The 12,337-nt window shown below is 40.8% G+C and overlaps 1 long non-coding RNA gene across 1 annotated transcript in view; it reads left to right on the forward strand.

The window, feature by feature from the left end:
* LOC102724080 (uncharacterized) overlaps positions 1-11,998 on the forward strand; it is a 117,440-nt gene extending 105,442 nt beyond the window's left edge. The window contains exon 2 of the long non-coding RNA XR_007061636.1: positions 10,541-11,998. This is a non-coding gene — a long non-coding RNA (uncharacterized LOC102724080). The remainder of the gene's footprint in view (positions 1-10,540) is intronic.
* The last annotated feature ends 339 nt before the right edge of the window (positions 11,999-12,337 follow it).

Genomic DNA, 12,337 nt, shown 5'->3' on the forward strand with positions numbered 1-12,337 from the left:
ATTTTTATGCTAAGTCACCCAAAACTAAAATTATTTAGATATACAACTTGAATGAACTCCATGGTCTAAATCAAATTACCTATGCTAACCCCTTAGTTATCAGAGCTATGCACCTAATTTGGAGAAACAACTGGTATTCAAGAGGATATAGGTCTAATGTTAATTAAGCATGAACTCATGGAGAACCAGAACAGCTGCCTTGTCCTTCCTGAGTCCATAAAGCTTTTGTTATTAAAATTTCCATGACTCATCATGGAAAAGATAAAATGATCCAAATTAAATATATTGGTGTGGTGACTTATAAATTGCTAGAATTGTTTATAACCAATGTTTGATTTGTCAAATCCATATTTCTGGGAAAACAATCAAAGCTTCAGGTACATTTGGTTACCTGATGGGCCGTTTAAAGATTTATAAAGGGATCGTCAGTTTCTTTTTTCTTTTTTTTTTTTTGAGACGGAATCTCGCTGTCTCCCAGGCTGGAGTGCAGTGGCACGATCTCGGCTCACTGCAAGATCTGCCTCCCGGGTTCATGCCATTCTCCTGCCTCAGCCTCCTGAGTAGCTGGGACTACAGGTGCCCGCCACTATGCCCGGCTAATTTTTTGTATTTTTAGTGGGGACGGGGTTTCACCGTGTTAGCCAGGATGGTCTTGATCTCCTGACCTTGTGATCCACCCACCTCGGCCTCCCAGAATGCTGGGATTACAGGCTTGAGCCACCGCGACCAGCCTAATTGTCATTTTCAATGCATGTTTTCTGGTTGTATAAAAGCTCTCCCATGCAAGAGGGCTGTTGTTGTAACAGTAGATTATTATGGTACAGTGTATTTTCCCCAGGTAAAGAAAGCTTTTTAAGGTTCACTGAGGACAGTCAACCTCTTCACAATCTAGAACTCGAAGACTGGATCTTCTGAGAACATCAGAGAAAGACTGCCCTTGCCATCCACACTGCAACAAAACTTGGGAAACTTGAACTTTGGGTTCATAATGTCACAACTGAGAAGGATCCCTCACAATCTTAGAACTCTTAAGGAAAAGCTAATCAGGAAAGTTTTTCCCCAGAAGAAGATGGCATCCTTGATGTGAACAGCTTTTCCCAAGATCATGGATCAAGACATCTCTACTATTATGAGACTCTTATCTTCGAATATTTTTTCCTTGTTTATGCCTCTATGAATAATAGAAATGAAAAGAGGGTCTGTTGTGTGAACTTATGGGCTATATGTTTTTGTGAAAGATTTTGCAGCCAGCCTTATACAGGGATAAACTCATACTTTGATAGATAAAAGATGAAGGCCTAATGAAGGTGAGAAACTTTAATGGTACATATGTTGCCTCATAATCAGTCAGAAACAGAACATCAATTCACTCCTCTTAACTCACATCATGAGTTAAAGAGAACATTGCCAGGAGGCATTCAATCTTTTTTTTTTTTTTTGAGATGGAGTCTCACTCTGTTGCCCAGGCTGGAGTGCAGTGGCTCGATCTTGGCTCACTGCAGCCTCCGCCTCCTGGGTTCAAGTGATTCTCTGCCTCAGCCTCCCAAGTAGCTGGGATTAGAGGCACCCGCCACCATGCCTGGCTAATTTTTGTATTTTTAGTAGAGACAGGGTATTCAATCTTTTAGAAGGCCAGCATTTGTTAGGTCTTTTTTCCACGGTTTGGAATAAAAGAGGCAATGATTAGAAATATATCCCTCGTGATAGGCTCTATAGCAGATTCTACTGTAAAGGCTATGGTTACACAACGGACTTTACATTCTCTTATGAAAGTTATGCTAAATAATAGAATTGGCTAAACAGAAAAGGTTCTGTGCAGCTGCTGGCACTTATGTCCTATGGAGAAATACATCAGGTATTATAGGGATTCAGTTGTAGGGGATTAATGAAAAGACTGCTTAGTTAAGCAAGTAGTCTGTTTATCTAACTTATTCTTTGATCTATTTGATTTTAGGTGGTTTGGTTTGTGGGGACCCTGGGTAAGAATCATACTTCAAACTCTTGGTATTATCCTCCCGATAGTCATAATAGAAGTCTCCCTGGTGCGCTGTGTTCTCTTAAATATTTTAAATGTTTGCACACAGCCATCTCTGAATGCCAAATGATCTCTCTTCAACTGGAATGACAAGAGCTGAAAGAAATGTATGACCACGAGGACACTTTAATCTGTGAATGACATGCTGAGATCGGAAACCCCAAATGATGGTAACTGAGAGTGGTGCCCAGGCCCTAAGTTTTAGTCACACTCTCACCTAAGTGAGAACCTGACCAAAAAGGGGGAATTTTTTTTTTGAACAAAATTACGGAAGGCCATTGCTTTGGACTGAGCTCATGCACTAGGCCCCAGCAGACCAAACCAAACCAAAATGGAGTTACTCATGCTGAATGTGACATAATCAAACCAAGACTTTAAGGAAACACATAGATCCTAGAACAGACCAGGTTTGGTTTTCTCCTGTAAACAAGACATTCCAGCATAAGGAGGTAACCTCTCCTCAAGTCCTGGTTCCTACCTTTGCAAAACTTACTGTTCCACTGTTTCACAGTGGGTTTCAAGACCAAATAAGTATATTTACAGTGGTGATAGTGACATCAATGACTAAAGTTTTGGTGAATCTCTCAAAATTGAGAAAATGACCAAAAGGGGGCAATTGTTAAAGCGAAATAAATGTGGCCTGAGAAGGACTGCATACTTCTATATTTGAGTCCTTGTAGATGAACTACAACCTAACTTAATAGGCAGACAAGGTTGAAAACCTAACTTAGGAATCTGCACCCGTAACAATAGCTGAGTCTTGGCCAATCCCAGCAGCTGTACTTTGTACTTCAACCACTCATACATTGCTGAGTGTTCAAACTGTGTTCAAATAAGGCAAACGCCGAGCTGTCACCAATCCAGTTGTTTCTGTACCTCACTTCTGATTTCTGCACGCCACTTCCCTTTTGTCTATAAATCTCCCATCACATGCCTTTGTGGGAGACTCTCTGAATCTGCTGTGATTCTGGAGGCTGCCTGATTCGTGAATTGTTCATTGCTCAATTAAACTCCTTTAAATTAAAAAAAAAAGAATTTATCTAGACAATTTTGTTGTTCTGCAGCTCTCCAAGTAAAGAACTCATATATTTTCAGAGAGTTTTATCTCTGGTTAAGGTGGACTATCAATATGTCTAGTTTATTTCTGAGAATGTTCTACGTTTAATTTTGTTGGGGTTTGTGTATATAGAATAAGACAGTAATTTATTTCAATTTAAATTATAAAAGCTGTACAAATCCTGATTAAAAATTTTCACACTGCATATAAAGTGGAATTAAGTGCTAAATTATAGTCTCTTGCCCTCCGCAGTCCTCTAAATTTCACTCCTCATTGTGTGTAACACTATAGACTTTTCTATGCACTTATAAGAATGCTTATATATTCTGCATATATTTTATATATTCACAGTACACAGATGCTTTCATGCTATCTGAATGAATCGTATACTTCTTTGAAATAGGCTTTTGTTAATTGATAATATATGGACTTTTTTTTCATGTCAGTGTAAACAATTTTCTTTTATTCTTTTTTTGTTTTCAGATGGAGTTGTGTTCTTGTTGCCCAGGCTGGAGTGCATTGGTGCCATCTTGGCTCACTGCAACCTCTGCCTCCCGGATTCAAGTGATTCTCCTGCCTCAGCCTCCCAAGTAGCTGGGATTACAGGCGCATGCCACCATGCCCAGCTAATTTTTTGTGTTTAGTAGAGACAGGGTTTCACCATGTTGGTCAGGCTAGTCTCGAACTCCTGACCTTAGATGATTCACCCGCCTCAGCCTCCCAAAGTGCTGGGATTACAGGTGTGAGCCATCGCGACCGGTCCTCTTTTATTCTTTATGTAGCTGTTCAGTATTCCATTATATGAATACTTCCTACCTTATTTGACTACTCTCCAACTAATGGGCACTTAGGACTCATCCACACCCCCCTTCTTTTTGTAAGCAAACATTGCTTAATAAATATCCTTGTTCCTAAAAATTTTAGACACCTGTGAGAAAGATGTATTTCTAAAAATATACTTGCTAGGTATGTGCTTTAAAATTTTCCATAGATATTACCAAACAGCTTCCCATATGATATTCTCCAAAAAGGAGTATTTCTATCATATCATTCTCTAACAAAGAATGGATATAGTCTAACTTTTTTCCCATATAAGTGGAAAAATGATATTTACTATTTTCATATTAATTTCATTATTATGAGTGAGTTTGAGCTCCTTCGTTTATAAACTATGTTTTTTTGATTTCTTTTTCTCTGCACTGTGTTTTTAGACTCTTTATGCATTTTTCTCTTATTGGATTGTCCAACTTTTTCTTCTTGTAAAGAGAGAGCTTTACATTAATTTTCTGTTTTCCATGGTATGCTGTAAATTTTTAAATCATGGTTGATCATGTGCTTTATACACACACACACACACACACACACACACACACACACACACACACAAAGTTTCTGGTCTTATATTTGGTGATAGTGGTTATGGCCACTATGACTACATATATATATATATATATATATATAAATATATATGTAAAAATATATATATGTAAAATATATATGTGTATTATATATATATGTTTACACCCCCATATGACATTTCTTTTTTATAGTTGAGTTTATCAATTTTTATTTTTTGAGACAGAGTTTTGCTCTTGTTGCCCAGGCTGGAGTGCAATGGCGCCATCTTGGCTCACTGCAAACTCCGCCTCCTGTATTCAAGCAATTCTCCTGCCTCAGCCTCCTGAGTAGCTGGGATTACAGGCATGCGCCACCACGCCCAGCTAATTTTGTATTTTTAGTAGGGACAGGGTTTCACCATGTTGGTCAGGCTTGTCTCAAACTCTTGACCTCAAGTGATCCCCCTGCCTCGGACTCCCAAAGTGCTGGGATTACAGGCATTAGCCACAGCACCCCACCAAGTTTATCAATTTTTTATGGTGTCTTTTTTCATCATGCTTATCTATCCCCTACAAAACTGTAAGCATGTTTTGTCATGCTTTTTCTGCTACTTTTTCTGGTTTAATTTTTTTTAAGGTAGGTCTTTAACCCCTTAAGGATTAATTTGACTCAAAAAGTGAGGTATGAATTGAATGCTTTTTCTAACCTGTTTTTCCAATACTGTCTTTTTTTGATTTTGAAAGACCCTCATCTTTTTTTCCAGGCATTGTAATCTATCCCATCGATCTGTCTGTCTGTTCCTGGCTCTGGTACTAGAAAGGTTTAATTATTTTTAGTTTTAAAATGTATTAGACTATGTGCAGCTTGTTCGAGTGAATTTATTTGCCTATGCTTGGAGCTTCCAAGAGACCCAGTGGAATCTGGTAGTGTGGGAAGTGGGGTAGGATGAATGAGCTAAAATTACTCGTTTGGGCTCTATGTACCTCTAGAACACAAGCCACTGGAGTGAACAGCCAAGTTCTACTACTATTACATATTTATTTCAAACTTTGCAAAGTGCTTTCCTATGTACTGTCTCTTTAATCCTAACAACAGTCTCATAAGGTAGAGGTTGCTATTCCTATTTTTGCAAAATGTCTTATGTTGAGGTCTGAGATTTGATGAGCATCATACAGCTCCAAAGTGGCACAGCCCAGACTCCAACCCCAGGTCCTCCTTCAAACCACAGCTGTACCATTTTCAGGGTGAATACTGGATCCTCCACTCAGCCTTGGCCATGCCACGAGGAGTTTCTTCTTCAGCTTGGAGCAGGTGATTCCTCAGCTGAGCCAAACACCCTTTTGAAAATCTCCTCTTGGCCAGGTGTGGTGGCTCATGGCTGTAATCCCAGCACTTTGAGAAGGCCAAGGCAGGTGGATCACTTGAGGTCAGGAGCTTGAGACCATCCGGGCCAACATGGTGAAACCCCATCTCTACTAAATATACAAAAATTAGCTGGGCGTGGTGGTGCACAACTGTAGTCCCAGCTACTCAGGAGGCTGAGGCACAAGAACCGCTTGAACCCAGTGAGGCAAGATCACACCACTGCACTTCAGCCTAGGCGACAGAGCGAGACTCCACCTCCAAAAAAAAAAAAAAAGGAACTGTCCAACACAGAGACCCTGTTCCCAGTGGGCTTTGCCTGAAGCTCTTCCAGCAGCGAGCTAGCACAGGGGTGGAACCTGCTGTTGATCTGTTGATTAAGCCTATGCAGTGCTTTCTTTCTTAAAAGGATTAAGTTTTCCACTCTGCTATTATTTTTTAAGAAGGGAATTTTTCTGTAACACTACAAACTCTTTCAGCAGATATTCATCAACAGCCTCTGTGATAGCAAAGTATTTTTCAGCAGAAAGAAGTTAGTTTGACAGATAAGCATGCTGCATAATTAAAGGATTAGCATAGTTTCTCCTGAAATTAAATTAGGAGGGAAAGACTTTTGTGTGGACTTGTTTATGATAACATTATTTGTCGTCATTTTGCAAGGAATAACTCTCAAGCCATGACATAGTGTCAGTTTTAATATTTGAGCCTCAGAGATGAGCGGAAAATGACATTTACACAATGTGACCAGTGGCACATACCTGAATTGTTTCCAGCTACTCAAATCCAGACATCCTCCCTTTCATGAGTGAAGGTGAATGCTTCCACCCTCCGTCCCTCATTTGTTTCCCTGTGGAGGGAAAAAGCTTCCTTTTCTATTATGTTCTGGAAGCAACCTGAGTTTTGGGCAGACTGAGTGGTTGCTCGGATTGTGTGATTAAATCTCTCTGACTGAGGCCACAGTGACAGGGCAGTGGATTGGGGAAAGACTGGTTGGAAGGGTTTTGGAGGACAGAGGACCTTGGTAAAGGACCGTGCAGGAGAGCAGTTTTATCTCACTGTCAAAGCCTGTTTTGCTCCTTCCAGTCCTCTTTGCTTTCTTTTATGCAGTTGTTTTCTCATTTCTACAGAAGCAGAGATCATCTGGCTGGAGCATTCTGAGCATTTGCTTCGTGGAGAGCTTTGGTATGGGGGCCGTGCTTGTCTTCAGCAGAGGCTCTGGGAGAGCCAGACTTCTGTGTGTCTGTGCTGCAGGATGGCATTCGCCTCTCAGAGAGCCTAGGTTAACTCTTTAAGCCGTGAAGCAGTCCGGAAGAGGCTAAGCCAGACTTGGCAACTACATTGGACCCCAAAGCCCCAAAACTCTGCGCCATTATGCTGCCTCCCAAAGGTGGGATTTGCAGCTGGGTTTTGAAAGATAGTGGGATAATTTTAGGGTCAGATTAAAGAGGGGGATATTGCAGGGGGAGAAACAATACATTAGCCAGGCGGTGGAAGCAGGAAAGAGATCTCTTGAGAAGAAGAGGGAGATGTTGCAGGAAGCCCGAATGGGGCCTGGGAGGGGTGGCAGCAGGTACAATCTGTGCCTTGAGTCACTCCCCCTTGGTGTTCCTGTGATTTCTGTACCTCTGCATTGGACAGTGACTTGAGGGCTGGCAGCCTCCCACCTCATCATGGGCTTCAGTGTCTCTCTGTTCTGCTTCAGGGCTTCCTCTGGAGCCTTGAAGAACACTGGGCATGTGTGCAGGAGCGTCCCTGAAGTACACGGGGCTTCCCATCCCTGGAGGCCACCCCAGCCAAGGGGAATGAGAGCTGGAGGAAAAACACTCCAGCCTCCCTTCCTTCAGGGGGCAACCCTGAGGTGCTTTCTACACGGTTCCCCCGATGGGTGAGCCCAGGTGCCCACAGCAGTAGCCGGTGTGATAACACGTCTTCTCCGTCTACCTCTCCTGGCTCCCTCACTCCTGCCTCCTGGGCTCACTTCCCAAAGAAACCACCTGCACCCAAGTCCTTGTCTCAGGCTCTGCTTTTCAGGAAACCCAATTAAGAAAGGGACTTTCAAAGGTTTCCTTGGAAATGTGGACTTGATTGAATAGAATACGATTCAAAACACCCAAAACAGAACCTTTTGGAATACATATTAACTGTCTAGTTGACCAATTCTTGCCAGAGGGAAGTCTGGCAACTCTGTCTTACAAAAACTGTTATCGTGTAATCTTAGCAGGAACAGTCTCATTTGTGCTTTGACCTTGAAAACGTTTGGAAGGAAGGCATGTGGACCCAGGAACATTCTGCAATTCATGGTCTCTTACATAAATTAACTTTCTTCTCTTCAGTGAGTAAAGATGTTGAATAGGTACATGAGCCCTGAAATGTCTCACACTATCCAGAGAATAAAATGTATCAACGATGCAATTAACTTGTTGGTATGAGTGAATACAAATCGCTACTTAAGAATTTATTCTTCAATTCCACAATTTTCGCAATTCTTCTCTAAATATATAATCTTTACTAAGTAAAAAAAGTGAACTATTTAAAAAAAAAAGAACAAGAAGAAGAGGTTGGGCATGGTAGCTCATATCTGTAATCCCAGTGCTTTGGGAGGCTGAGGTGGGAGGATCACTTGAGACTAGGGGTTCAAGGCTACAGTGAGCCGTGATCATGCCACTATACTCTAGCCTGGGCAACTGAGCGAGACCCTATCTCTAAAACAAAATAAAAAATAATTTAATTTTCTAGTGCATAATCAAGCAACCCTCTGCAGACAGAAGGTTACATGTCCAATGTTCAAATATGCTTACAGATTTATGAATACAAGACAAGCAGCCCCAAGAGAAAAATCAGTGAAGGATATGAAGAACAGTGCATGGGAGAGCAAGCCTCAATGATCAAGATGAGAAGATGCTCAAAAGGGAAATTCAGTCCACAAAAGCAAAGAGATGACCCTCCCTATCTGCCACACTGGCCAAAAATAAAGAGGTCGAAATATTTGTAGCATTATGTCTAGAGCAAAACGTGATATAAAGTGAAAAGTGGTATGAATGAAGGTCAGTCGTTGATTTAAAATTTGACACATCCATATCCTATATGTTTATGCTGCGATCAGAAAAGTATGAATTTGAGCTGGTTAACGTGGAAAGATTCCCACAATATATTGCGTAAATAATGTCTAATGTAATCCTATTTTTGTATAAAAAGGTCGAGGTGGGTGTGAATTCGTGCTTATTCACTTCTGAAGCCAGAATATCTGGGTTTGGTCCTGTACGTAGCTCTTATTGGCTGTGGGACTTTGGGAACTTAATGTAACCTCTCTGTGTTGCTGATCTTTATACTTGTATATTAAATGGGGGACAATAGCAATATCTACTTTAGGATTGATATGAGGATTAACTCAGCTATTGTATACAGAGACTTACAATGGTGCCCGGAATATAATGTGCTCAATAAGTGTGGCTGTTACGATAGCTTGTGTAATTGCAGTAATGTCTATAATTGCATATGATTTATGAGAATGGAGAAAAATACCAAAGGGTGCAGCATTGGTTGTTAGCATGAGTTACTTGGTGTCAAGTGGAGGAGGGAAGTGCTTGAATAGGGATCCAGGTGGGGGAGAAAAGGATGAGGGGTAACAGGTATAAAATATACACGGAGTGAAAAAGAACCTTTAACCATAGCATGCTGGCCTCTGCAATAGATAACCTGTAAGGAAAAGACAAGGATGGAGAGGGAACCAATGATATAGAGAAAAGAAGACCTTTCAAATTAAAAGGAAATGAGCAAGACCAAGCGGTAGTGTCTAAGGATTCATACGTGAGCGATAAGATGTCAAAGAAACACACAAAAAGATATTATAAAAGTCCCGGGCTGGGCATGGTGGCTCACGCCTGTAATCCTAGCACTTTGGGAGGCTGAGGCAGGCCGATCAACTGAGGTCGGGAGTTCGAGACCAGCCATGATCAACATGGAGAAACCCCGTCTCTAATAAAAAGACAAAATTAGCCAGTCGTGGTGGTGGTGGTGCGTGCCTGTAATCCCAGCTACTTGGGAGGCTGAGGCAGGAGAATCGCTTGAGCCCTGGAGGCGGAGGTTGCAGTGAGCTGAGATCATGCCATTGCACTCCAGTCTGGGCAACAAGAGCAAAACTCCATCTCAAAACAACAACAACAACAAAAAAAGTCCCAGTAGTGATAATTTTTTGAAGGAGAGAGGGATAGTGTCTGGGATGGGGCATAAAACACGGATATCTGGGGTGGCTGCACAATTTTGTTTCTTGATCTGCATGGTAGTTATAATAATTCTTCAAGATTTCCATTTTTGATATAGTTTTTTTGCATTTGTAGTATGTTTTCTTGTACAATAAAAGGCTAAAACATCCTAGTAAATATAATCTGTGCATTTATGAAAAGTTATATGTTTATAAGAACAGATACACAAGTCAAAACAGCAACTAGCTAGTGAGTATATAAAATCACCCCTAGAAGCTAAAGAGAATGTTCCAATATGAGGTTGAGGGCTATCCCTCTCCAAATCTATGGGGCCTGAAGGCGCTGGGCTAGGCAGGTTTCCTACCTAACTTTGTCCAGACAGATGAAGGCAGGAAGGATTAGTTTTGATCATGCCTGCTGGGTGTATGAGTCACATTCTACCTGGTAATTATTTTTGACATTTGACAGTTCTAGGCACAACCTTTTGCAGCTCTGAAATCTTGGCAGGCCATTTATTTTTGAAGCTTCATATTTTCCTTTTCACAGGATATACCTATTTGGGTACCCTGTTCAAATTAAGGTAGAGATTTTTGAAGAGTCACAAGCCCGGAGGAAAATGTAGAGTTTCAGGAAAGAACTCATCACTTAGCAACAACAACAACAACAACGACAACAACAACAACAACAACAACAACAAAAGTGTGACCTTTACTTGAAAAATACCAGCCCCTGGCCACAGAACTAGGCTTACAATTTTTCAGAGCAGGCACCAGGTGAATCTTTGTTCCCAAATATTTTCCCTACCTGCCTGTACCACAATGCTGAAATTCTATTCTTAGACAGATAACTCGTTTGACTGGTGAGTTTAAAAATGCAAATTTCCCAAGAAGAAGTAGCCCAGTTAAGACTGTTATGAGACAGTCATACTATGGTGAAAAGAATGCATAAAGAAAGGATCCTGAATTAAAGAGAAAAGCAAAGGACAATTGTAAAGGACACAGAATTGCTGGGAAGAAAAATGCCTGGAGCTTTCCCAAATCAGGCAATAAAAAGGCACTGAGCATCTGCGAGACACGTATGAGGATTTTTTCAATCAGCTTCTTTTGGTTTAAATTGACAGAAACCCCAACTCAACTAAGCTTAGGAAAAAAAGGGTAATCTATTGGCTCATATAATTTAAAAGTACGACTTTTAAATTAGATGGAGTTTCAGGCATGGCTTGATCCAGGTATTAAGCAATACTTTCAAAACTTTGTCTTCTCTGTTTTCCTGCTTTCAGCAGGCCCTCTGCTCCTGTCTTCTCCCAAATATAGTATAAGTTTTTTTCTTTACCCTGATCACTAAAGTAAAAATTGTGAGATAAGCTGTGATTGGCCATGCGCACGTCCTTGAGTCAGTCGAGGTGGCTTCCAGATACAAGGCTCTGGTGGGCCATGTGGGAGTTATTGGCTTTGTCCTGGAACCAGAGGTGGGTCAGCTTCACTGACACACTTGCACCAAGGAAATGGGCGTGGTGTTGCCAGAAAAGAGGGACATGGGTATTGGAGCTTCACATAGCACATGTCCCGCCCAGCAGCCTCTGCGAGTTCCAACCCAGAGTGGCTGTGAAATCAAGTTGCTGGATCACAGCCAGCATCAAAGGAGTATTCTAGAAGAGAATTTAATAGAAGATACCTGAGTGTGTCACATTCTGTAAGAGTCAGTTCTGTGAAACCTTTGTTTGAGTTACACAGGTGCATACGTATCTACAAATGTAAATATGTGTGCATATTTATATACATGTATGTATAAATGTGTGGATAAATATGAATTGTTGACCACGGTTTATGGAAAAAAAGGTGTAAACATGTGTAAATATGTGCAAATATGTGCATATTTATATACGTACATATTTGGACTTATAGGTGTAAATATGTGTGCATATTTATATACATGTATGTGTAAATGTGTGGATAAGTATGAAATTTTGAGTTATATGGAGTTAAATAAAATATATAATCAAAATTACTTTTCCCTCTTTCTTTTTATCTCTTTTTAAATGTGGTTGCTAGAAAATTTAAAATTATACTCATGGCTCATGTTACATTCGTACAAAACAGTGCTGGGGAAGAGCAGAGCAGATGAAAGCTGGTCCCTGGAGACAAGATGTTGGGTAAATTCCTGAGCACCCTCATTTGCACAGTTAAAAGAATGAGAGCCTGCAGTGTGGGGTATTTGTGCATAGTAATGGGATAATTAATAGCACATGGGGAGCGTGTCAGAAACGGAGCTGCTGCTTCTATTATGAAACCATGAGGCCTCATCTCTCCTACTTGATTAGATCTCTGTCAGTTTTACTTTTGT

This window comes from Homo sapiens, chromosome 9 (assembly GCF_000001405.40).
Source record: "Homo sapiens chromosome 9, GRCh38.p14 Primary Assembly".
In the NCBI taxonomy this organism is placed as follows: domain Eukaryota; kingdom Metazoa; phylum Chordata; class Mammalia; order Primates; family Hominidae; genus Homo; species Homo sapiens.